General features: G+C 40.2%; 1 protein-coding gene and 1 long non-coding RNA gene across 4 annotated transcripts in view, besides 3 other annotated features; both read right to left on the bottom strand.

Annotated features, from left to right (window-relative positions):
* SPECC1L-ADORA2A (SPECC1L-ADORA2A readthrough (NMD candidate)) overlaps positions 1-27,851 on the bottom strand; it is a 171,544-nt gene that overhangs the window by 131,567 nt on the left and 12,126 nt on the right. The window contains 1 exon segment of the long non-coding RNA NR_103546.1: positions 8,410-8,599. This is a non-coding gene — a long non-coding RNA (SPECC1L-ADORA2A readthrough (NMD candidate)).
* Positions 1-27,851, bottom strand: part of SPECC1L (sperm antigen with calponin homology and coiled-coil domains 1 like) — a 146,908-nt gene that overhangs the window by 106,945 nt on the left and 12,112 nt on the right. For all 3 annotated transcript variants that reach the window (NM_015330.6, NM_001145468.4, NM_001254732.3), the window contains one exon: positions 8,410-8,599. In NM_015330.6, coding sequence (NP_056145.5) covers positions 8,410-8,562 — 153 coding nt within the window. In that variant the 5' untranslated portion in view covers positions 8,563-8,599. The remainder of the gene's footprint in view (positions 1-8,409; positions 8,600-27,851) is intronic.
* Positions 6,879-7,173: a silencer, noted in NCBI's record as "tiled region #3699; K562 Repressive non-DNase unmatched - State 15:Elon". NCBI's record gives its function as "represses a minimal TATA promoter and a strong SV40 promoter by Sharpr-MPRA in K562 cells {active_cell/tissue: K562}" and the evidence as "EXISTENCE:reporter gene assay evidence [ECO:0000049][PMID:27701403]".
* Positions 18,379-18,673: a silencer, noted in NCBI's record as "tiled region #3008; K562 Repressive non-DNase unmatched - State 7:EnhWF". NCBI's record gives its function as "represses a minimal TATA promoter and a strong SV40 promoter by Sharpr-MPRA in K562 cells {active_cell/tissue: K562}" and the evidence as "EXISTENCE:reporter gene assay evidence [ECO:0000049][PMID:27701403]".
* Positions 26,132-26,637: an enhancer, noted in NCBI's record as "H3K27ac hESC enhancer chr22:24680125-24680630 (GRCh37/hg19 assembly coordinates)". NCBI's record gives its function as "activates a minimal SCP1, AML or CMV promoter by ChIP-STARR-seq in naive H9 embryonic stem cells {active_cell/tissue: H9 hESC(naive)}" and the evidence as "EXISTENCE:reporter gene assay evidence [ECO:0000049][PMID:30033119]".

Here is a 27,851-nt window from a genome sequence, read left to right as displayed (position 1 = left end):
AAAAACCATCATAAATAGAATTTTAAAACATAAAAAACTGGGAAAGTATATTTGCAATATCTCACAAACAAATGGTTAAGGTCCCTAACACAGAATGCTTTAAAATTGAGGGGAAAAAGACCAAAAAAAAAGACAGAAAAATGAACAAAATGAATGAATCACACAATCAGTTTACAAACACACACACACACAGAGAAAATGATGATCAACCTAACTCATAATGAGAGAAATGCAAATTAAGCAGCACTTGTCACTTAACAGATTGGTAAACATGCTCTTTTGGAAAGAATATGGGGAAACAGGCACTCTCCTTAGTTGCTGATGGGATGCACCTTGACATAAGCCTTATGAAAGGAATCATGCAATATCTAACAAAGTTACACATGTATTTACCTTCTCTCCAGCAACTTCACTTCTAGGAATTTAACCTGAAGATACACCTCCAATAATACAAAAATACATATGCACATGGCTAATTATTCACTGCAGCATTGTTTTTTATTGCAAAATACTGGTACGCCTTAAATGCCTATATATACACAGGAAAGCATATGAAGTACACTTTAGTGAATACAATGAGGTATTAAACAGCAACAAAAAATAAGAAAGACTGCTACCAATTGGTATGGAGAGAGATTTCTAGAGTACATTAAGTGAAAAGATTAACAGAGTGCAAAAGAATATATTTTGCCACCTTTTGTGTAAAAAAGGAAATAAAAAATGTGTATTTGCTCATTTATGCAAAAAGAAACATGAGAAGAATAAACAAAAACTAAATTGCCTGTTAACCTCTGGGATGGGTGGGAACTGCGTAAGAGGGAACAGGGGAGGAGAGGGGCACTTTTCTGAACATATCTTCTCATATAGTTCTGACTCGTGGAGCCATGTTAGTGTTTCATATGCTGAAAATAAACAAATAAATAAAATTTAAATAAAGATAGGAAAAACCTAAAATGGAATAGGATAGGAACAAACAGACTAACTGTATTTCAAATGAACAACACAACCCAAGTATTTTTTCACCACGGTAGTATTTTGACCATAAATCCTCAAACTCTCAAGCCAAAGACAAAAGTATGCAAATATTGAACTTCAGGCCGGTTGCAGTGGCTCACGCCTGTAATTCCAGCACTTTGGGAGGACAAGGTGGGTAGATCACGAGGTCAGGAGTTCAAGACCAGCCTGGCCAACATGGTGAAACCCCGTCTCTACTAAAAATACAAAAATTAGCTGGGTGTGGCAGCATGTGCCTGTAACCCCAGCTACTCAGGAGCCTGAGGCAGGAGAATCACTTGAACCCGGGAGACGGACGTTGCAGTGAGCCGAGATCTCGCCACTGTACTCCAGCCTGGCGACAGAGCTAGACTCTCAAAAAGAAAAAAAAATTGAACTTCAGTTGATAAACTGTTTTTCACAGTTGTACAGATAATTCTAAAACTATTTTCTATACATTCTAGGGTGGAGAGAAAATAAGTAAATATAGGCTGTAGAAGCCAGGTATTTCAGTGTTGGATAAATGGATTACAATTATAGGATGTGGAAAGGCTATTATGAACCTTTTAAGTCAATGGAATTGGAAATATCAGTGTGAACTCACACATTTTAATAGATACAGATACAGAAATTGACATAGATATGTGCGTGTGTGTGTGTGTGTCCCAAAAGCAATGAACACATCTAACCTCCAGGTCTTGGTTTTTAAGTACTATCCTCCACTAAAAAGAACAAGGCCTCCTTGAAGAAATGGCTGATTCTAGGGCTGGGACCGAAAAGGTACAAAACTTACTACGTCAGAAATGAAGGAAGTGCTCAAAGAGTAATAGGAACATGTCAAAAGGACACAGGAACCAGCCTGATGGGCTCCCAGTGGACAAATCAGGGATAATCTAGGCATAAAACTAAATGATCCTAATAATTTATACTCCACTAAGAATCTATGAATTTACAATAATATAAATGAATATATAAACCAAGGGAAAGTAAAAACTCTTCCTTGTAGCAGAATGCCAACTAACACATGTAGAAGGAATGACAGAATTAGAAAATTACCATGTGGCAAAAATCACAATACTAACTGATTTGGGAAAGAACTATCCAAAAAAAATGCTAAAACCAGGGTGAAAAGTCTAGTAAAAAAAAGGATAGATATATGTACAAAGTTTCAAAGTATCTCTGACAAGCTACTTATTAATTACAAGAGCGAACACAGTAACCTGACAGTGGAGAAACCTAGCCAAAGGAAGTTAACATCCCCCACAATGGAAAACATGGAAGCCATCTGTTTCCATACACTTCTGTGGTATTCCTGCCTAAAATGCATAACCCAAATCTTATCACAAGGAAATATTACCAAACCCAAATCTGGAGGGCAGCCTATCAAATAACTGCCTTTCGCTCCTTAGAAATGTCAAGGTGATAAAAGACAGAGTGAGAAACTATTCCGAATTTAAATAGGATGAGGAGCATAACAACTAAATGCAATACATAATCCTGGATTGGATACTGGGCCAGAAAACAGATTTTTTTTTCTCTTTTGCTATATCTGAAATTAGCACAACTGGCAAAATTTAATGAAAGGTTATACATTAGATACTAGCATCCTATCAATGTTATTACTATGGTTATAAAAAAGAATGTCCTTGTTTTTCTGGAAATACACACTGAAATATTCAGCAGTAAAGGAGCATTATGTCTATAGTTCATGCTGAAACAGCCCCCCCACCCCCAAAAAAACTATGTGTGTATACATGGTATATACAGGGAAGTGATAATCATGACAGGTTAACATATGAGGAATCTTGATAGAGTATACTGGAATTCTTAGTACTAGTCCTTCAGCTTTTCTGTAAGTCTAAAATTATTTCAAAATAAAAAGATTTTACATGATTATTTCCAGACAGATTGAGGATCTAAATATGAAATTTAGAAAAACACTTTTAGAAAAAAAAAAATAGGGGCCAGGCATGGTGGCTCACACCTGTAATCCCAAGGCTTTGGGAGGGTGAGGCAGAAGGATCTCCTGCAATCAGGAGATTGAGACAAGCCTGGGCAACATAGTGAGACCTTGTTTCTACAAAAAGAAAAAGAAAAAAATATAGGCAACTATTTCATTTGACCTAGGGATGGGTTAAGATTTCTTAAACAAAAACACATACACATACACGTACGTACATACATACACACACACACACACTCACATACACACACAGACACACATACCCCATAAAGAAAAGATTAATAAATTGAGCTACATTAAAATAAATAACTGCTGTTCATGAAGATACCTTTAAAGGTATCATACCTTTATGAAGTGGAGGGGAGGGGAGAGAAGAGAGCGAAAGCAAGGCAGAGTGGGGGAATATACATGCAGCATGTATAAATGATAAAGGGCTCACATCTAGAAGAGGTAAAGAACCACAAATCAGTGCAAAAAGACACTGTACCCTCTCACACCCAATAGAATGGATACTATCAAAAAACAAAATAACAACTATTGCAGAGGACGCGAAAAAATTGGAACCCTTATGTACTGCAAATGGTGTAGCTGCTAGCAGCGAGAAACAATAGGCAGTTCCTTAAAGAATTAAAAATGGACTTGCCATATGATGTAGCAATTCCACCTACGGGTATATACCCCCCCCAAAATTGAAAGCAGGGCCTTGAAGAGATCTTTGTACACCCATATTCATAGCAGCACTATCCACAGTAGCCAAAAGGTGGAAGCAACCCAAGTGTTCACTGAGAGATGAATGGATAAACAAAATATAGCATATACATACAATGAACACTATTGAGCCTTAAAAACGGAAGGAATTCTGACACATGCTGCAACATGGATGAACCTTGAGGACATGATGCTAAGTTAAATAAGCCAGACACAAAACAAGTGGTATATGATTCCACTTATATAAGGTAGCTAGAGCAGTGAAATTCATAGAGACAGAAAGTAGAATGGTGGTTGTCAGGCGCTGGAGAGAAGAGGGAATGTGGAGTCATTATATAATGGGTACAGAGATTCAGTTTAGCAAGATGACAAGTTCTGGAGATGGATGGTGATGATGGTTGCACAACAATGTGAATGTATTTAACAGAACTGAACTGCACACTTAAAAATTGTTAAGATGGTTGGGCACAGTGGCTCACACCTAAAATCCCACCGTCACAGGAGAATTACTTGAAGCCAAGGAGTTAGAGACCAGCCAGGGTAAAAAAGTGAGACCCTGTCTCTAAAAAAAATTTTGTTTTGATTAGCTGGGTATGTGACACACATCTGTAATTCCAGCTACTCAGGAGGCTGAAGCCTGAAGACCGCTTGAGCCCAGGAGTTCAAGGCTGCAGTGAGCTAGGATCACGCCATTGTACTCCAGCCTGGGCAGGCAACAGAGTAAGACTCCATCTCTTAAAAAAATTAAAAAATTAAAATTAAAAATTAAAAGGCCAAAGTGATGAATGTTGTATGTATTTTTCCACAATAAAAAAAAAAGTTTGGAAAAAAAAAAGACAACGGAAAAATGGGCAAGTGACTTGAACAGGCACTTCATAGAAGAGGGTCTAAATGTCCACTGAGCACATAAAAAGAATGTATAAGGCCGGGTGCAGTGGCTCATGCCTGTAATTCCAGCACTTTGGGAGGCCGAGGTGGGTGGATGACCTGAGGTCGGGAGTTCAAGACCAGCCTGACCAACATGGAGAAACCCCGTCTCTACTAAAAATACAAAAAATTAGCCAGGCGTGGTGGCACATGCCTGTAATCCCAGCTACTCGGGAGGCTGAGGCAGGAGAATCGCTTGAACCCGGGAGGCGGAGATGGCGCCATTGCACTCCAGCCTGGGCAACAAGAGTGAAACTCCATCTCAAAAAAAAAAAAAAGATTGTATGAAAAGGTATTCAATCTTACTGGTAACGATGCAAATTAATGCCACTGCTCCATTCCTTTATACATCCGTGAGTGCTTAACATGAAAGGAGTAACAATTTAAGTACAGGAGAAAATGTGAAGTAACCAGGAGTGTAAACTGGTAACCACCTTGAGAAATGATTTTCTTCTATCTATAACATTAAAGCTGAACATAGGTATACTCTACGGTCCAGTAATTTCACTCCTCATTCTAGAACCAACACAAATGGGTGCACATGTGTATTAATACACACATATAAGAATGTTCATAACAATAATACTCATAACCACAGAGAAGAAACTCCAAAAGTCTGCCAATAGTAGTAAAAGTCTGCCAATAGCAGAAGAGATGAACAAACTGTGGTATATTCATCCCATGGATTACTAACCAACAATGAAAAGGAAGTGACCGCTGCTAGATGCAACAGTACAGATAAGAAACCAGACACACATAAAAAGAACATAGTGTGTGACTACGTTCCTGTAAAGATCAAAAACTGGCAAAAATCATCTCTGGTGCTAGAAGTTAGAATGGTAGTTACTTTGGGGGAGGACAGGAAGGGCAATGATTAAGCAGAGGCACGGTGGAAGCTTCTGAGGGGCACATATGTTCTGTTTCTTGAACTAGGTGGTGACTGAAGGACATGTTTCATTTTGTGATGATTCACTAAACTCAACACCTGTGTTTTGTGGACTTTGCTGTACGTATGCTTTACTTCAACAAAAAAAGTCAAAACAAAACAAAACACAACTCTGCATTTTCCAACTTACCTTTTACCCTAAGCTACTAGCAGGCTCTCTGCTATTTTTCCCTATTTCTTTTAATTTTTGCTACAAAATTCTGTAAAGGCATGTGCATTCTCACACATAAACACCCCCCATCAGTAAGTCTAAAAACATGAAATGGATGAAGGAATAAATGTTCAGCCTACTCTTTGTAACTGATGCAAAATGCAAATAATTTGGTACAAGCATTCCGGACACAAATAATGAAATACTACAACCAGGTACGTATACTTCTCTAAGTCAAGCCCAAGTTTCACATGCATCTTTCTCTCAAATTTGAAGATTTGTTATCAAATTTTACCTTTCAAGTTTCCGAGGAGGATTGTTCATACAATTAACAAATGTTTACACTGTATGACCACAAATAATCATGGAGAAATATCAATTATAGATTCTAACTGAAGCTTATTAATTCATGTCTGTAATTTTTAGAAAAAATTATCATCAGTATAATGGAAAAGTATATTACTTCAAAAGAACTAATCATGAACACCTGAACAGTAAGTGAACCCTGCAAAGCGTAGGCATGCAGGAAACCCTCTCTACATGGAAAATAATCCTCTCCACTGACTGTGACCAAGGAGAATTAAGCATACAAAGGCTGCAAGCCCAATGACACAGCTCCTGACAGAAGTGGGAATAATGTCTCCAAAACTCACTGTGAGCAGCAGTAGTGTTTTGTATTTACAAAAGCTCCAACCAGCAGTGAAGTGTCCTGGATCAAAAGAGTCCTTCCCCTTAACCCTCAACTACATCTAGCCTCAAACAATACTTGAAATGAGAGGTGAAGAAATGCATATCCTGTATCCTGTCACTACAAGAAGAGAGTCATGAGAATATTGTGCAGTGACAGACACACAGGTGTGGGTGTCCATAAATGAATGGGTGTGTGCACATGCTGTCTCAATAATTAAGCCAAACACTTCATTCATCTGGTTAATCATCAATGCTCCATGACAGTTAAAGGAATTCAAATTGTAGGAAGTATCTAGGTGCCAGAGAAGCACAGGAAAAAAAAAAGTTAGAAAAATAAAATAACACTGTGGGGTCTCAAAGCCCTTCAATGTTTTCCATTTTTTTCCCACTATTTTCTTCTTTCCTTCTCTGTTTTTACTTTAATCTCCATTTAATGACTTTTTCCTTCCCCTCTCTTAAGTGAAGGCAATTGCTCCACTCCAGGAAAAGTGTTGCCAAATAGTTTTACCTCTGTCCTGACCTTCCTGCTACACACACACACACACACACACACACACACACACACACACACCCTATTTAAACTTGTTAATGCAGCAGAGCCAAAGCTATGGACAGCTGGCATGTGCTGGCAAGAGTAAGTGTACAGTTTTGCTTTACAGTGGAAAAGTACTCACTGTTCAAGACCAAATTCCCAGCAACTCCAGATCCAAGACTCAGAAGGTGTAACATGCCTGCTCAGTGCACATTCCATAGTAAACCTCCAAAGACACTGCCTGCCTCTGACGAAGAGGCCACAGAAGGAAGGCAGCAGTGCACATCTAATGCCAACATTTCAACCTGTTCTTCCAGTCACATAAATAACAGGTCACCTAGTCACACAGGCACTCCACGCCAAAGAGAGCCCCAGCAACTGAATAACCAGTTAGGTCAGAAAATGCCACCTGTCTTACACCAAAAAGCAGCAGCACTGCCACCAACAAAATGATTCAGTGTGTTCACTGAGACAATGGAAGCTGGGCAAGGGTCTATTCCTGGCACCATCCTCCAGGTCACAGAATGATACCTAACAATTCCTCAGGGCCACAGCTAGGAGAAAATCTGTGTGCATCTCCGAGCCAAGGGAATAAGCCTGGGTTCAGTTCCAACAACCTTAGAATAGAAAAACCAGCATTTCCTGTTAGATCTTTCTACACATATAAGGAAGTTCCTCATCGGCTGTTCCTGAGTTCCTTCTTAAAATAATTAAGCCATGATCTATCAGGGCCCTGCCTGGAATGAACAGATCATGTTTCCAGTTGTGCATGCATACGCACACCTCTAGTCCAGCTACTCGAGAGGCTGAGGCAGGAGGATCCACTGAACCCAGGAGACCAGCCTGGGCAACATAGATCTCATCTATTTAAAAAAAAATGGTAATAGTAATAATAAGAATAATATCTCATCTCTTTTTTAAAAAATGGTATAATCATCATCATCATCATCATCGTGGACCAGCTGCCAGAAGAACAGCAATTTGTGGTGGTGACAGTGAGGGAGACAGGCAGATAAAAACACCTGTCTAGGGGTCACAGGACTGCCAGACTTGGCTCACATGACCTTTTCATAAAACCTTCCCAGGCTTGAAACAATATTTACTTACCTGAAACTGTTCACAATGCTTTACTGCTCTCCCAGGGTATCTGACATTCTCCCTGGGTATTTTCATTATTCATGTTTGTGCCTTGCCTCCACCCTTTCCTCCACAAGCTCCCTGAAGGCAGACTGTACCTCCAGCTCACACAATCACAGCATCCTGCACAAGGCAGGTGCTCAATTATTGTTTCATGAACAAGCCTATTGTCTGGTTTCATTCAAAAAGACAGACCAAAAACAGCAATTAGGTCCACCCCACTGTAAGCTCTCTTCAAAGGCCAAGTGTTCCCAGCACCAGAAGAGGGCACACCCCTAAGAATGCTCATTTAATATATTAAACATCATATTTAAATTCAGTCCTCCAAAAACCCATCATGTATTCAAACATCACATGAATACCTTTGACAATGATGCTGCTGTTCCAGGTTTTACAAGTTTGCCTCCCGTAGATGCTGAAGAGCTGTTTTCAGGTTTAATTTTTTCTGCTGTTTGCGTTTTACTTATTGCAGACACTTTAGGCACTGAGCCAACACTCCTGCTTGCTTTCTTCATTCTGGGCTGCCTCTTCGTGATGCATTTACAAGCAAATCTGTGGGAAAAAAATGGCATTACACTGAGAACATAACTGGAAGGAAGCGCTTTAGAAATTTGTTTTCGAAGAATTTTACCATGTGATAAAACTGTTTGAAAGCTAGATGTCACTACAGAAAAGTTGAAAAAAAATTTTTTTTTTTTTTTGAGACGGAGTCTCGCTCTGTCACCCAGGCTGGAGTGCAGTGGCACTATCTCGGCTCACTGCAAGCTCCGCCTCCCGGGTTCACACCATTCTCCTGCCTCAGCCTTCCGAGTAGTTGGGACTACAGGCACCCACCACCACGCCCGGCTAATTTTTTGTATTTTTAGTAGAGACAGGGTTTCACCGTGTTAGCCAGGATGGTCTCGATCTCCTGACCTCGTGATCCACTCGCCTCAGCCTCTCAAAGTGCTGGGATTACAGGCGTGAGCACCGTGCCTGGCTCTGATATATATTATAATATGGGTGAACCTTGAAAACAATACACAGATGACCCCTGACTTACTATTTTTAAACTTTACAATGTTTCAACTTTACAATGATGTGAAAGCAATAAACCTTTAGAAACCATACATTAGAGTACCCATACAACCATTCTGTTTTTCACTGTCAGTACTGTACTCAATAAATTACATAAGATATTCAACACTTTATTACAAAATAGGCTTTGTGTTAGATGATTCTGTCTAACTGTAGACTAATTTAAGTGTTCCGACCATGTTTAAGGTAGGTTAGGCTAAGCTACGATGTTCAGTATGTTAGGTATAATAAACGTATTTTCAACTCATGACATTGTCAACTTACGAGGGGTTTATAGGATGTAACCCCACGTTAAATAAAGGAGCATCTGTACCAAATAAAAGAAGACCACGTAAATGTCTTCTTTTGAGAAGTGTCTGTTCATATCCTTTGCCCAATTTTTGATGGGGTTGTTTTCTTCTTGTAAATTTGTTTAAGTTACTTGTAAATTCTGGATATTAGACCTTTGTTAGATGGGGAGATTGCAAAAGTTTCTCCCATTCTGTAGGTTGCCTCTTTGCTCTGATGATAGTTTCTTTTGCTGTGCAGAAGCTCTTTAGTTTACTTAGATCCCATTTGTCAATTTTGGTTTTTGTTGCAATTGCTTTTGGTGTTTCTGTCATGGAAGTCTTTGCCCATGCCTATGTCCTGAATGGTATTGCCTAGGTTTTCTTCTAGGATTTTTATGGTTTTGGGTTTTACATTTAAGTCTTTAATCCAGCTTGAGTTAATTTTTTATAAGGTGTAAGGAAGGGGTCCAGTTTCAGTTTTCTGCATACAGCTACCCAGTTTTCCCAGTACCATTTAATGAATACAACATCCTTTCCCTATTGCTTATTTTTGTCAGGTTTGTCGAAGATCAGCTGGTTGTAGGTGTGTGGTGTTATTTCTGAGGTCTCTGTTCTGTTCCATTGGTCTATATATCAACATCACTGTTCTGTTCTATTAGTCTGTATATCAACATCACTGATCATCTGAGAAATGCAAATCAAAACCACAATGAGATAACATCTCATGCCAGTCAGAATTGCAATGATTAAAAAGTCAAGAAACAGCAGATGCTGGCAAGGTTGTGGAGAAATAGGAATGCTTTTACACTGTTGGTGGAAATGTAAATTACTTCAACCATTGTGGAAGACAGTATGGTGATTCCTCAAGGATCCAGAACCAGAAATACCCCAGCAATCCCATTATTGCGTATATACTCAAAGGAATACAAATCGTTCCACTATAAAGATACAAGCACACGGTATGTTTATTGCAGCACTGTTTACAATAGCAAAGACATGGAACCAACCCAAATGCCCATCAATGATACACTGGATGAAGAAAATGTGGTACATATACACCATGGAATACTATGCAGCCATAAGAAGGAATGAGATCATGTCCTTTGGAGGGACATGGATGAAGCTGGAAGCCATCATCCTCAGCAAACACAGGAACAGAAAACCAAACACTGCATGTTCTTGCTCATAAGTGGAGGTGAAAAATGAGAATACAAGGACACAGAGAAGGGAACAACACACACCAGGGCCTGTTGTGGGGTGGGGAACGAGGGGAGAGAACTTAGAGGATGGGTCAATAGGTGCAGCAAACCACCATGGCACATGTATACCTATGTAACAAACCTGCATGTTCTGCACATGTATCTTGTTTTCTTTTTTAAATAAAGAACAAAAAAACTGGAAGGCCACAAAGGACCATGTATTATATGATTCCATTTATATAAATTATCTAGCAGAAACAAATCTATAGAGATAAAAAGAATATAAGTGATTGCCAGGGGTTGGGGTAGGGAGTATAGAGGCTGGCTACTAATGGATACAGGGTTTCTTTTTGTAGACATGCAAAGTTCTAACATTAGATCACGGTGATAGTTGCACAATACTGTGAATATATTGAAAACCACTAAGTTTTACACTTTAAATAAGTGCATTGTATGACATATAAATTACATATCAATAGAGCTAAAATTAAAAAAAAAACCATAAGTTTTTCCTAAACTTATGATGAAATAAAAACATTGTAAGTCGAACAAGGACTTCTGGAAAATATATGCCAATGCTGTAAAATATGTGATAAAGAGAAAGATTATGGTTTTGCAGAGGTCCAAGAGGAGAAAAGAAACACAGTCAAACCTTTAAAGATGCTGAGATGCAGACTGTTCAAGGAGGCTGGCAGCTTGAGATCACTTAGACCGGCTGGTTCTTAGCCATATCAGACCCAAATACCCCCTGTTCACCGTTTTTTTGAGACAGGGTCTTACTCTGTCACCCATGCTGGAGTGCAGTGGTGCAGTCACGGCTCACTGCAGTCTTGACCTTCCAAGCTCAATGGATCCTGCCACCTCAGCCTCCCGAATAGCTGGGATTACAAGTGTGAACCACCATGCCTCACCCCCGTTCTTTAAAAACTATTGAAAATATACCTTTACTATCCTGAAATAAAATTCAGAAATAACTTATTACATATATATTCCAAAAATATCTACTTAACACAGCAACTATAATATAAAAACAATTTTTAATAAAATAAATATAAATTTCAATATGTAAATTTTCAGGCAGGACTATATTAGGACTAAAATGGTCAGAAATCCACATCTCTAAGTTGAATCACTGAATTTCACAGCTACAAATACTCTTCATTTGGGTATGTCATTTTGGCAACTCAGATATCACCCTACCTATCATGAATGCTATCAATAATGTGATTGATTCTTCATTTACCTAAAAAGGTGAATCACTCTCAGTGTGATGGTTAATTTATGTGTCAATCTGACTGCATCATGGGGTGCCCAGACATTTGGTCAAATATTATTCTGCGTGTTTCTGTGAGGGTGTTTCTGGATGAAATTAACGTTTTATTCAGTGGACTGTCTAAAGCAGATTAACTTCCCTAATGTGGGTGGGCCTCATCTCATCAACTGTAGACCTGAATAAAACAAAAAGGCTAAGTAAGAGGGAGCCCCTCCCACCTGACTGCTGAGCTGGGACATCTCTGCTTGCCGTCTGACTCAAACTGAAACAAACATTGGTTTTCCTTGGGTCTAAAGCCTGCTGGATTTCAGACAGAAACTTACATCGGTGGCTCTCCTGGTTTTCAGGCCTTCAGAGCCAGATCAGAATGACACCATCAGCTTTCCTGGATCTCTAGCTGGCCAACTGCAGATCTTGGGACTTCTCAGCCTCCATAATTGCATGAGCCAATTCCTTTAATAAGGATCTTGTTATATATAGAATGCTTCCCCTTTATCCGAGGGGGATATGTTTCAAGAACCCCTACGGATGCCTAAAAATGCAGATATTGCCCAACTCCATATATACTATGTTTTTGCCTATACATAAAGACGCTGCTCAACTTATGATGGAATAAAAATATCGTAAGTTGAAAATATCATGAATCAAAAATGCATTTAATACACTTTACCTACTGAACGTCATAGCTTAGCCTAGCCTATCTTAAACATGCTCAGACCACTTACATTAACCTATAGGTGGACAAAAATCATCTAACATGAAGCCTATTTTATAATAAAGTATTGAACACCTCATGTAATTTATTGAATATTATACATTACATTCAAAATGTGACAGTTTCATGCCATCATAAAGTTGAAAAATCTTAGGTCGAACCACAGTAAGTTGGGGACCATGTATACATACCACCTATGATAAAGTTAAGTTGATAAATTAGGCACAGTAGGAGATTAACAACAATAACTAATAATAAAGTAAGCAATAATACAATATGCTAGCATCACTACTCCTGCACTGTGGGTCCATTATTAAGTGAACTAAGGGTTACAAGCACTGTGATACCAGACAGTTAATCTGATAACCAAGACTAAGGGACTAATGGGCAGGCAGCACACACAGCATGGATACATCGGACAAAGTGAGGACTCATCTTCCAGGTGTGACAATGAGACCGCACAAGATTTCATCATGTCATTCAGAACAGTCCACAATTTAAAACGTACCAACTGTTTGTTTCAGGAATTTTTCCATTCAATATTTTCAGACCTTGGTTGACCATGAGGTACTCAAAGCATGGAAAGCAAAACCATAGATAAAGGGCAACTGGTGAATACTTATATTTTCTCCAGAGAAACAGAACCAATAGGATGCGCATGACACAATCATATATATTGGTTAAATATAGTTAAATATACTATATATATAAACATCTCGCTCTCTGTCCTACTGGAGAGATATATATATATGCTATCGGTTCTGTTTCTTGAGAGAACCAAGACTAGTAATACACTTAATAAAACTAAGAACAAAATGAGATAATTTCCCTTCAAAGTCTAGACTAATTCCATTTCCTGAAATTTCCATTTCTACTAAAATTACATTTAAAAAAACCCTTTATGTAAAATGGAATTCAGTTATAGGTTCGGCCTTAAACAGTTTTTTTCTATCTACATAAATTATTCATCAAGATATTCTAGGCCAGGCGCAGTGGCTCATGCTTGTAATCCCAGCACTTTGGGAGGCCGTGGATGGATCCCCTGAGGTCAGGAGTTCGAGAACAGCCTGGTCAACATGGTAAAACTCCGCCTCTACTAAAAATACAAAAATTAGCCGAGCGTGGTGGCACATCTCTTAATTCCAGCTACTTGGGAGGCTGAGGCAGGACAATCGCTTGAACCCGGGTTGCAGTGAGCTGGGATCACACCACTACACTCTGTCCTGGGTGACAGAGTAAGATTTGGTCTCAGAAAAAAAAAAAAAAGATATTCTAAAGCTGTGCAGATCATAGGAAAAGTTCTATTTTACAGAACTGTCACCACACTAAGCCTTGAATTCCATGGGCCCTACCTATTAAATAAATGCCTATAGCACCCACCAACCACTGAGACAATCACAAATGCTTCCACAAATTCCTTAAATGACCCTCAGGCTCATAAAAAAACAAATTAGAATTCACCAGAAGGTCCTGGGTCCCTACCTGGTCGAGATGGAGAAATCACTGGCTGACACTCCTCCCTAGAGCCCCTCTAGAGCCCCCCCAGGCAGAGATTACAGAGCAGAGGAGCGAAGGAGCACAGTTCACAGCACTTCCAGTGTCTTGGAGAAGGGGAAGTGGTGGAAATTACCACTCTCTCTTCTCCAACTTTGCTCAAGGGTGTCACATCAGCACACATCACTGAGACCTCTAGTCCAGGAAAGTCAAGGTTTGGGGGAATAAAAAGTAGCTCTCCTCATAAAAACATTGTGGATCCTGCCTCTGTGTTCTAAGAATAATCTGAAACAATAGTCCATGAAGTATGCCTCATGTATTTGTCAAACAGTGTTTCTTAAAAACACCAAAATAGATGCACTGCTCCCAAAAATAACAGGGAAAGGCACTGAAGGCCTTGAGCCTCTCCCCGACAGCAAGCACCATGTCCTGTGCGGTACCTTGTACAGTTCACTGGATCCTCACATGATCCCAGGTGGGTATGTCTAGATGAAGGAACTAAGGATCAGAGATTGCAAGTAATTCTCTCCAGGTCAATTCATTCTTGAGGAACAACGGTCTGAATTCAAACCTCACTTCACTTCTGCCACTCCATATGGCCTCCAATATACATATAACACAAGTTAGGAATGCCAGCTTTTGATCTCAATGAATATTTCACAACATATAAACAAACCGTGACAACACTAAAACTACACAGCTCAACCTGCCCCTTCTAGATTTGTCTACTTGTCCAATGTTGTCATCAGTGCTGGTATACTTTTTGTTTTTGAGATGAAGTCTTGCTCTTCTCCCCCAGTCTGGAGTGCGACGGCACGACCTTGGCTCACTGCAACATCTGCCTCCCGGGTTCAAGTGATTCTCCTCCCTCAGCCTCCCGAGTAGGTGGGATTATGGGCGCCTGCCACCACGCTTGGCTAATTTTTGTATTTTTACTAGAGACAGGTTTCACCATGTTGGCCAGGCTGGTCTTGAACTCCTGACCTCAGATGATCCACCCTCGGCCTCCCAAAGTGCTGAGATTACAAGTGTGAGCCACCGCGCCGGGCCCGTGCTGGTATTCTTAATCAACATTTTTTATTTTGAAGGGACTAACTACCATGTTATTTAACATAAAACCTTTCTTAGAGCAGAATATTTATTGCCAGGTCTAGATCAATATGTATTAAATTAGAGCTGTAAAAGTAAAATTCTTAGTTGTAATCATACTAATTGGAAGAAGGGAATGAGGGATGGGCATGAGTTGAAAAACTATGCTCACTACCTGGGTGACGGGATCCGTACCCCAAACCTCAGCATCGTGCAACATACCCATGCAACAAACCTGTGCGTGTACCCCTTGAGTCTAAAATAAATTATTGACATGTATTAAAATTACTTTTTAAAACAATTATTGAAATTATTTTAAAAATCATACTAATTTATATATATCTACTTTTAAATTTAAAATATTTGCCATAATTTAATATTAAAATATTAATTGAGTGAAGACACAAACCACTCTCATTAGAGAAATAAACCCTTCATTTACAAGGCTGCAATCTGGGTGGCCTGAACGCTCACTAGAATGTCCCAGTGCTCCTCAGGACAGGGTTCACAGCTCTGGGAGCCCTGCCCAAAGCTAATTACACATTCACAGCCACACAGGAAGCTCCAGAGTTTCCTTTACTTCTACAAGGAGATCATATAATTAAAACCTCCTGAGGAAAACAAAGGGCTATCTCTTACCTACCATATAAGGTAGACATAATACTATTTAAAAATCAACTCATAGACTCTTTACTAGAAATGAAAAATATCTTGGAAGCCATTTTACAGGAAACTCTACGTGCAACATCGACAAAAAAATATTCTTGTAGTTACAAGAGTCTACTGTGGGAGGATCCTGACTACTAAAAAGTTATGAGGCAAGTCATTGTGGGCACAACATTTATTTATCAATAAACGTTTATTCCATGTCCAGGCAAGCCAAGCACCAATTCTCTGGGAACCTAGTCAAGGAGGACTCAAATATATGGGCATATAAAGACTAGGACAGGCCGGCCCCAGTGGCTCATGCCTCTAATCCCAGCACTTTGGGAGGCCGAGGCAGGTGGATCAAGTGAGGTCAGAAGTTTGAGACCAGCCTAGCCAACATGGTGAAACCCTGTCTCTACCAAAAATATAAAAAATTAGCTGGGTGTGGTGGTGCGTGCCTGTAATCCCAGCTAATTGGGAGGCTGAGGCAGAAGAATCGCTTGAACCCGGGAGGCAGAGGTTGCAATGAGCCGATATCGTGCCGCTGCACTCCAGCCTGGGCAACAAAGTGAGACTCCATCTCAAAAAAAAAAAAAAAGGACTAGGACAAAAATACCTACTTTCAAGGAGTTCACAGTCTACAGGAATAAACAGGACATGTAAATGAACAAAATAGGTCCCCATCCTTTATGAACCTACTTTAAAAAACAAAAAACAGGGCAAGTATATGTACAGGATACAATGGAAGCAGAAAGATCCCCAATTCTGCCTTACTTTGGGCAACAAAGTAGGAGGTACACCTCGAAGGTATGAGAGTAAACACAGGTTCAACTGAAGAACTCTAATGACTTGGCTAGAATACAGTATGGCTAGAATACAGAAATGTCAAAATGAGGACTTGTCGGCAAGGGCCAGAAGACCAGTCAAGCCCTGGGCTTCATGTGACACAGGACGGTGAATAAAAGCCGTGCAGTCCTATAACCTGACTTGCAGTTCCCAAAGACTAACCTGCGCTGCTGTACTGAAGATACAGAATGGGAGGGTCAGGGATGAGGAAAACAGAATGGGCATCTAATTCCCTGTAATGTCTTTGCTCTCCCTTAATCTAAGCTTTATGTTCAAAATAAAAGTACCACTCTCACTCCACAACTCCCCCAGTATCTGAAGACCACCATGGCGATTCCCTAAATTGGCCCTCCTTCCAAGTCAGCACCACACATTCCCCATCCACTCCTCCAGATTTCAGTACCCTGTGTCCACTGGCATCAAAGTATGACAGGCACCTCGGAAGTGGGCACAGATACAAGACAGATCTGGTCTGGCAAGCACAGAGCTCAGCAAGACTATTATTTCCCTCGATCTAGAAACTGAGCTGCTCCTACCTTAATCTAAGAAAAAAAAAATCTGCTTTTCTAGGAGCTTCCAGAGGCTCATAATAAGTTCATGGTTATCTAATATTTTCAAGTCTTTTACCACACAAACTGCTGCTAAGCTACTGTTCTCTTTTTCCCCCCTTTTATTTTTTGTTTTGGAGATGGAGTCTCGCTCTGTCGCCAGGCTGGAGTACAGTGGCACGACCTCGGCTCACTGCAACCTCCGCCTCCCGGGTTCAAGCAATTCTCCTGCCTCAGCCTCCCGAGTAGCTGGGACTACAGGTGCGTACCACCACGCCCCGTTAATTTTTGTACTTGTAGTAGAGACGGGTTTAACTATGTTGGCCAGGATAGTCTCGATCTCCTGACCTCATGATTCGACTGCCTCGGCCTCCCAAAGTGCTGAGATTACAGGCATGAGCCACTGTGCCCAGCCTCCCCTAATGTTTTATTATGAAATTTTACAAACATGCAGAAATGTTGAAAAAACTGTATAGTAAGCAACATCCCACTTCTTTCCTTTTCTTCTTAATTTTTTTTCTCTATCATAGCACACTACAGCCTGAGCTCCGCCTCAGCCTCCCAAGTTGCTGGCATTACAGGAGCACACCACCATGCCCAGCTCATCCTCTTCATTGCTGTGTAATCTGTATTCTAAAAAATCTAAACCTTTATCTGTTAAAATTTTTATTTGGTAAATCAGCCCAAGGTTCCAGCCTTTAGGATACTTTTAAATTCTGACTTTGACTTGAAACCCATTAGTCTTCCTTCTAACAAGTGCTGTCTTCAATCTAAGTCACTTGGCCACCCAGTATTCTCATCTACAATAAAAAGGAAGTTGGACTCTAAGGCATCTCTACGACACCTTCTGACTCTTGTAATGTCAGATAATTCACATAATTGATGACGTTACATAGGACAAAGCAATGGTAAGGCTATGTGACACACCAAAAGAATCTCCTTCCGGGTCTCCCATACAGTGAGTAGAGAACTGAACTTAAAGGTCAAGAGACCTGAGTTCAAGCTCCAGTTCTGCCATCCAAGTTGTGTGACTCTGGACAAATCACTTAATCACTTTATGTATCTGCAAATCTGTTTCTTCTCCTATAAAAAAGAACTGATAAAATCTAGTTTATAGAGTTCTTGTAAAAAATAACATGTGTAAACCAACAAGAACATAACTCCTGATATCCCACTTCCAGAAGTTACTTCATCACAGATCAAAGGTCAAAGGAAAAATGGTGTAACAGTCCAAGGTTAGGGACAGCAACTTATTTCAGTGGTTCAGAAACCCCACCCTCACCAACCATCCACCCATGAAAAACACACCAATCAAGTTTCAGAAATATACCAAAAGGACATTGTAAATTTATCTTATTGTCATACTGCATCCAGAAGGATCCACCCTGATTAGAGGACAACACAAATTGTCCTGGATACCACAAGAGAGCTCCAAGGCCGTTCCCTGGCTGAGAAGCACCTTCAGCCCTGGCACAGGGTGGGACGGGAACCCCTCTTGGCAACTACAGGGACAGTCCCCAATCTCTCCATTCTGTAGTTACACCAGGATCTTGATTGCTGTCACTACTTTCTTCTTTCAGTTCCTCCTATTCACCTCCATTAGAATCTTTTCCCCTCAAATGTTTCCAAAATGTACTGCTATTTAAAACCATTTAAATTTCCTATTTAATTAATAATTCTCTGTGCTTATTCAAAAACAACAACAACAACAAAAAGAAAACACTACTATCCAGGAGACTGCCCAACCACGTATGATCAAATCTGTATCCTTCTATATCCCTGGGTAAGTTAACCTCTCTGAAATCTGTTTCTTCATTTTAAAAGGGGGCTGGTAATACTATGTACCTTCCTTATAAGGATGTTGAGAGGATTCAATGAAATAATGAGCCTAAAGTGGTTAGCAGGCTGGCAGCCCACAGTAAAGACCAGATAACATGAGCTATCATAATTTACAGAAGAATATATTGCATGCCCCATGTATGACTACTGCCTTATTAAAATAAAAGCAGCAATTCAAAAGACACTTTGTAAAAGAAACCCTTTATAAGGAATGACTAAAGATTGTTTTTACCTACTACTTATATTAGATTATATACCATGGCCCACAGATGTCAACAAACAACATTAGCTTATGGGTTTTTCCCACTGAAAATTACATATTATGAAAATACATAGTATGGAGTACACTGGAACAAAAATCAAGAGACCTGGATTGCAGTCCCAGGTCTGGCACCATCTATGTGACCTTGTGCAAGTCACCCACACTCTGTGAGCCTTGTTTATAAAGGAGAGTGGATTAGTAGCTTTCAGAAGTTCGAAAATTTCATTTCATAATCTGTACTTTCAGAACACGGAATCAAACAATTTAAGAGGAACTGCTTATTAATTATGACTTTTTATGCCTATCAATACCCACTGAAAATCCAAAAAGGGTTTTTAACCTAAGCAATCTAAATATATTTATCTCTCTTATTTCACAAACTTCATTTTCAAAATGTAGAGATCATATTAAAATTGTAAATTAAGAACAGACTTAAAACACTGAGAAGAAAGAATCACACAGTCAAGGGAAACTATAACTCAGGGAAAGGGCCACTTCAGAGTCAGAAAGTGAATGCTGCTAAATGAAGCAAAATCAACAATCGATTTGATAAAACATGTGTCTTACCAAAAGCCAATCAAAACTTTCAAAAGAAACCCAGTAAGAAGTGTTTAAATCAAATAAATCATAATGTAATGGATTGATCCTATATTCTTCAACATATACATAACCTTTCTTATGGTGAATTATGACACACATTCAGAAAGGTGCATTTTATGTACACATTTTAAAGACTTGGAGTGAGACTCCACTGAAAAAGTCAAGGACTACTAAGAGGGAAAGTCTGAGCCTTGTCATGTCAAAAAACTGCACATGTGCAAGTTGGCATATATTCAAGGTGCATGAAACAGACAGGAGGGAGAGAGAAGCAGGGGTAAGATGCCTTCAGATATGTGATTCTCTGCTCAGTCTGAATCCAGACAGAAGTCCAGTACTGCTCAAAAAACTTCAATGCTTACTGACTGAGGCACAACTTTTAAATGCTTGTTTTTATAAGACAGTACTTTCTTAATTTTTAAAGACAGATTTTATACTATGCCTAAAATTGTAACATGTAGTACATTTAACAGGGTAGTTTCCCATTTCCAGGAATCAACGATATCGGTTATGACTTATGAGGAAAGATGGCATCCAGATCTACCTCCCCTGTTTCTACCTCCAACTCCAGGACGAAAGAAACTGTACTCTATGTCCTCTCCCCACTCCAGGTAGGCACTCCCCCTTAAACAGCCTCATGGCCACGGAAGGAAAATGCAGCTCCTTTCTGCTTTAACCCAGTTCTTCTCACAATTCCCTCCTTTCTGCCTGTCCAACCAGTTAAGAAAGTCTCAAGGTGAATCCACAGGAGAAAGACTGCTCAGTCACGCCTGAGTGGCCACTTTAATCAAGATAAGGAGGTGATGGTGAGCAGGGCCAATGAATCCCCAGTGGAGGGATGGAGGCCAAGTCATGCTGCAGTGGAGTGGAATAAAAAGCTGAGTAGGAAAGAAAAGGATAAAGAACATCTCAAAAATGTGTGAAGGGGAGAGAGCCGGGGGTAATGAGGAGGCAGAGACACTTTGTTGATGTTGCCATTGTCGTTTAACTATGAAAGTAAGCTGCCTGGAAAGCACCAGCCAGACAATGTGGAAAGCCCACACTGCACAAATACTAGGGCACTGATTCTCATAATAACCCCACGTGGACAGAAAGGAAAAACAAACTTTGGTTAGAGAGGAAAGCAAGCACAACTACATATAGGATGCTAGACCAACCACAACTACACATAGGATGCTAAAAAAAAAAAAAAAGGAGGTAGTTATCAGTAATACCAACTCAAATGGCCACTAAACAGCACAACTGTATTCCCACTTGTTTTGGCCAACGAAAAGCTCACTCACACTAACTTATGATTTCTATTATTCTATGAGGCTTAACCCAAGAAAATAATTAGAAACGATTAGAAGCTTCCTGGATTTTTTTAAACTTAGAACCATGTAAGTCTTCTCCTTCTTTCTACTTTTTAAAAAATAATGAAATAAAAGTCCTAATCTTATGCCAAGACCTCTTCAGATCCATTTCTGGAGATCTTCTCTCACTTTAATGCAAGCTGCTGGAAAGGACGTTAAACTACTGACAACACTTAACATTCCAGACAAGTGACAAGCCTGGAAAAGGACAGCCTAAAAGAATGTCTGGCAACAGTACATAAGTGATTTTTCCAGATTTAGTCCAAAACACATTCGTTCCCAAAGTTCAAACTGCCAGAATGCAAAAAATTTTGCGTCTCCTCTGGCCACTACCTCCTTAGCCAAAGTTTCTGAATATTTACAAAAAGAAAACGTTTATTCAGGATCCTTTCAAACCACAGCTTTATGCTCAGACTCTTGGCAGGCAGTTTAAACTTGCACAATTTGGTATCGATAAAATTAACTGTCAGCCATAGTTTTAATTCAAAACATCAATCTATTTGTACATTTATAACAACCTCTGATGTGAAATACTAAATGAAACATTTCATTTTGCACTTCATTAATGGTTCAAATATAACAATGTAAAAAATCCTTTCTAAAAAGCTTATAATTGGCTGGGAGCAATGGCTCACGCCTGTAATCCCAGCACTTTGGGAGGCCAAGGCAGGCGGATCACAAGGTCAGGAGTTCAAGACCAGCCTGACCAACATGGTGAAAACCCGTCTCTACTAAAAGTACAAAAATTAGCCAAGTGTGGTGGCAGACACCTGTAATTCCAGCTACTGAGGAAGCTGAGGCAGGAGAATCGCTTGAACCCAGGAGGCAGAAGTTGCAGTGAGCCAAGATCACGCCATTGCACTCCAGCCTGGGCAACAGAGCAAGGATATGTCCAAAAAAAAAAAAAAAAAAAAAAAAAAAAAGCTTAAAATTTTGGATTTGAGAAGTCTTTCTAAACTAAATAAGTTAAAATAGAATTCAAATTCAGTGTAGTAAAAACTAAGTCTTTTTTTCAACAAGCATTTCACTGGTTAGGTTAAAAAGAAATTAATAAAAAATGCTAAGAAGTTCTTTTTCCCTGTGTCTAGTGAGTATAAAGCAGTGGTACTTAATGAGGGGTAGGGGACAATTTTGTACCCTAGGGGATATTTGGCACTTCCTGTACACATTTTTCGTTGTCACAACTGGGTGGGAGGCAAGGTGCTACAGACAGTGAGTGTGTAAGAGGCCAGGAATCCTAGTAAACTCCCTACAACACACTGGACAGCCCCCCACGACAAAGAATTATACAGCCTAAAATATCAATACAGTCAAGGCTGGGAAACCTTGGTATAAGGGGACTGGTTAAACTTGGAAGGAAGGGTTTGTCTTTCTGTAAATCGTTCCGTAAAAAAGGTCTCATGTGTACAGACAATCTGCTGAGAAAGCCACAGTTCTGGCAGCTGGCAGAGCTGAAAGAGAAGGGAAAATCTATGCACAGGGCCCTTGGATTTCCACCCATATTCCCCAGGAAAGGATACAGTTCCAGGAAGGGCTCTCTCTGATCTCCCGGAATGAAATCTGAGATGAACCACAGGGCCTTATTGCTTACCTGTACCTCCTTTTTGTAGTTTCCAGCTGGCCTGGCACAGACTGACAACCCCAAATGGATGGTCGAAATCCACTGTTCTCCAGTCCCTCTCAAACCTCACCGGCAAGAAGGAAAGAAACTAAACCCCGAGGGCCCATTATATTCCAGCGGGGTCCTAGGGATTCCACACTCATTCAGTTCCTTTACATCATAAGAAGTGGGTATTATAATATCAGATCCACTGTAAAAGGTGATCCCGAAGCAAATGGTAGAGCAGGAGTCTGAATAGGGGCACCTCCAACAGCCACATCCACCCCACCACAGCTCCCAGGGGTTTCTTTCTAATCTCAAGGGTGGCCTATACCCTGGGACTATAGGGGGCCTTGGTGTGCTAAATCTTCAGAGACATTTTTAAACGGTCAAGACGCCTCTTGGCGACTGGAAGAAGTTCCTGACCTCGCGGCATTCCCTCCTTCCCATCCCCACTACCACACCAATCCTATGCCAGCCTGTCTGTGTCAGGGAAGAAGTCCAGCTGGACAACTCTGGCAGCCTCCTGTCGCCCTCCCCTGCCAGCAATCCTTCTGTGCCACAGCTGTGTGTCCACACTCTAAAGCACACATCCCACCAGGCCACTCTCCTGTAAAATAATGCCTCACTGTCCCAGGCCAAATACCCCAGCGCCGATACCTGCTTCTTCAAATCCAGGCTCCAACCCATCCCTCCATCTCATTTCCATTTTACGTGCACACATAGTCACACACTCTCACATACCCACACTTTGGCTCCTACTGTTCCTACCCCTGAAAACCCCTTACCACTTTCCTCCCTGAGAAATAACTGCTCGTGCATCACTTCAGGACTCAGCTCCACTGCCGTGTCCTTAGTGATACCTTCCCTTGTCTCTAGTTGGTTGGCCCCCCATCCCTCTTACCTTTCTGGCCACAGCACTCACCTAAGTGTCTTTTATCCAGACAACATTTAGGGTATACTTAGACCAAAAAAGTCATCACTATTTATCTGAAATTCACATTTACTTATTTTTAATTTTCATTTTTTTGGAGACAGGGTCTCGCTTTGTAGCCCAGGCTGGAGTGCAGTGGCGCGATCTCAGCTCACTGTAACCTCTGCCTGCAGGGTTCAAATGATTCTTCTGCCTCAGCCTCTTACTTGAAAAACAGACAAAAGCAAAGCTATGATGTGAATAGCCTGAATTACTGCAAAAAGTACATGAATGTCAGAAGTAAATCCTAACTCTTACTAGATAGGTCAGTTAATCAGTGACACAGTTCACGGCCTGTTATTAAGATATCCTATAACTGAGTCTAGAACTTTACTCACTTCTTAGTGGTAGGACAAAGATATAAGACAGAAAAAGAGGAAAGCAGTAAAAAGTACTTCCTTTCAAATTCAAAATGTCATGGTCCATACTTCCTTGTTAAAATGCCGAAACACACCATATGACTCAATTATTAATACAATAATTTTGCTGTTACCAACTTAGGATAAGCTTCACCTATGTCTTTATCTCAGGAGCAATGTATTGCAAGTTCAAGCAATAAAGTGTAATTACATGCGAGAATGTCAATATAACATAACCAATCAGGTACTAAAAAAACAGAATATGTAAAATAACTATGATGTTTCTTCCCAATATTTCATTCTCATTTTTAAAAAGTAAACTTTCAGAACAGTACTGTAAGACATAAGCAAACTTTGACTTTCAGTAAAAGGTTACTACTAACAGCAAGTGTCAAGAATAGACTACCATGCAGATTTCACTGCAGCTTACCCCCACTTTATCAGATGGAAGTCTTAAATCTAAGCCTTCGAAACTATATTCTAGGTTACAAACATCACCAAAAAATCACCAAAGCCCTACACACATATACATGCCTCTGAGAATGTTGCCTGTCGAATCTGATTTACTGAATAAATGAGTAACTTGATTATTTTAGCTTAAATAAACAATCGCTTTTAAGGACTTCAAAACACAAAATCAAGATTTTCTTTTCAAAAAAGAACAGCGCGCCAGGCGCGGTAGCTCACGCCTGTAATCCCAGAACTTTGGGAGGCTGAGGCGGGCGGATCATGAGGTCAGGAGTTCAAGATTAGCCTGGCCAACATAGTGAAACCCCGTCTCTACCAAAAATACAAAAATTAGCCGGGCTTGGTGGTGGGTGCCTGTAATCCCAGCTACTCAAGGCTGAGGCAGGAGAATCACTTGAACCCAGGAAGCGGAGGTCGCAGTGAGCTGAGACCGCGACACTGCACTCCAGCCTGGGCGACAGAGCAAGACTCCGTCTCAAAAAAAACAAAACAAAACAACAAAAAAAAAAACAGCAGTATTGTTTTAGATCATAACACTTAACATAGACCACGTGATACACAGAAGGCAGCTCTTTGAATAGGAGCAGCCTGGGACATTTGCTGGCTTGTATTCATGAATTTACATACCAAGTGGAAAGAACTCAGACTGGTTGGGTAGAATATGCGTTCAAATGCTAACAACTCCACTACTTATTAGTTATCTGGCTCTGGGCATATTACTCATCTCCAAATTTCGGTCTTTCATCTTTAAGTAGAAACAGCTAACACATAGGATGCTATAAGAACCACATCAAACGATGTGTGGAAACTAACAAGGAAAATGCTCAGCCCACAGAATTACAGTAAGCATCCATCTCCTTTCCTTCCCACTACAACCAGAAGGACAAATTTCCCTTTATCCTAAACTTACTTTCTTCTATCTTGTCACAGTACTAGTAGACATATAGCTCTCCCTTTCCACTACAATCCCCAGGGCTGCTTCCACTCCGACTTAAGCAGAGAAACTTCAGAGGTTCTTCTAGACAACTACAAACTTTGTCACCCAATCTAAGTGTGTGCCACCCTCTTCCAATCCTAACCACCACAGCTTTGATCACTCTAGAGTTTAATTCAACACAGCTTTCTTTTACCTTCCTCCATCTTCCTCTTCAATCAACTACAAAATTACACTTACTTTTCCTTTGATTGTCCCTGGTGACTATGTGTCTCTCCCTTTCTCTTCTCATCCACTCCCTCTACTCTGCATGAGTCACTCCACTGGCCTTTTATCAGGCTTTCTTGACTGACACCGATCTCTCTGATCCTTTCTGTATTCTTTCAAATTGTCCTCCTTCTTTCTGAACTGTTGCTTTTTAAAGATGGGATAATAGTATTGTGGTGGTGTTTTTAATTTTAAAGATTCTCAGCTGGGTGTTGTGGTTCACGCATGTAATCCCAGCACTTTCAGAGGCCAAGGCAGGCAGAACACGAGGTCAGGAGATCGAGACCATCCTGGCTAACGCGGTGAAATCCCGTCTCTACTAAAAATACAAAAAAATTAGCCGGATGTGGTAGTGGGTGCCTGTAGTCCCAGCTACTCGGGAGGCTGAGGCAGGAGAATGGCATGAACCCGGGAGGCAGAGCTTGCAGTGAGCCGAGATCACGCCACTGCACTCCAGCCTGGGCGACAGAGCAAGACTCTGTCTCAAAATAAAATAAAATAAAATAAAATAAAAGATTCTCTATTAATTAAATTACAAAATAATGGAATATCTCTGGAAAATTCTGAAATACTTGGGAACTCACATACTTCTACGTCTATGAACTAAAGAAGAAACCAAAAGGGAAATCAGAATGTGTTTTGAACTTAAAATGAAAACATAACATATCAAAATTTGTGGGCTATCCTTAAATTACCTTTAAAAACTTAAAGCAGTAAAGGGAAATTTATAACACTAAACACCTATGTTGGAAAAGAAGAAAAGACTCAAATCAGCTCCTACTTTAAGAAACATGAAAAAGAAGAGCAATGAAACACAAAGTATGGAGAAGAAAAGAATAAACATCTAAGCAAAAATCAATGAAATAGAAAACGTAAAACAGAGATCAATGAAACAAAAAATGGGTTGAGAGGATCAAGAAAACTGATAAACCTCTAGCCACACTCATAAAAAAGAGAGGACACAAATTACCAGCATTAAGAATGGAAAGGGTAACAACACTACAGATTCTACAGCTATCAGAGGAAAATAAGAGACTGTTAGAAACCACTTTATGCCAGTAAATTCAAGAACCTAGATAAAATAAATGAATTTCTTGAAAGACAAACTATCATAAAATAAATGAATTTCTTGAAAGACAAACTATCGAAGCTCAAACAGTGATAAATAACTTGAATAGCTCTATAGTTATTGAAGAAATTGGATTTGTAGTTAAAAACTTTCCTACAAAGAAAACCCCAGGCGTAGATGCATTCACTCAGGAATTCCACTAAAGAAGAAATAAAACAAATTCTTTACAAACTCTTCCAGAAAACTGAGAAGAATATTTCTCAACTCATTCTATGAAGCCAGCATTACTTTGATACCAAAATCTGACAAAGACATTACAAAAAAAGAAACCTACAGACCCATATCTCTCGTGAAAATAAATGTAAAAATTACAAACAAAATTTTAGCAAATTGAGTCTAACAATCTAGAAAAAAAGGATAATATATCATAACCAAGTAGGGTTTATCCCACAAATGCAAGGTTAGTTTAACATTCAAAAATCGGCAAGGCAGGCTGGGCGCGGTGGCTCACGCCTGTAATCCCAGCACTTTGGGAGGCCGAGGTGGGCGGATCACCAGGTCAGGAGATCGAGACCATCCTGGCTAACACGGTGAAACCCCATATCTACTAAAAAGACAAAAAATTAGCCGGGCATGGTGGCCAGCGCCAGTAGTCCCAGCTACTCCTGAGGCTGACGCAGGAGAATGGTGTGAACCCAGGAAGAGGAGCTTGCAGTGAGCCGAGGTAGAACTACTGCACTCCAGCCTGGGCAGCAGTACAAGACCCCATCTCAAAAAAAAACAAAGTTATCGGCCAGGCACAGTGACTCACGCCTGTAATCCCAGCACTTTGGGAGGATGAGGTGGGTGGATCACCTGAGGTCAAGAGTTCGAGACCAGCCTGGCCAACATGGTGAAACCCCGCCTCTACTAATAATACAAAAATT

This window comes from Homo sapiens, chromosome 22 (genome assembly GCF_000001405.40).
Source record: "Homo sapiens chromosome 22, GRCh38.p14 Primary Assembly".
In the NCBI taxonomy this organism is placed as follows: domain Eukaryota; kingdom Metazoa; phylum Chordata; class Mammalia; order Primates; family Hominidae; genus Homo; species Homo sapiens.
Note: the sequence above shows the minus strand (reverse complement) of the source record. Positions and strands in the feature narration are given on the sequence as shown.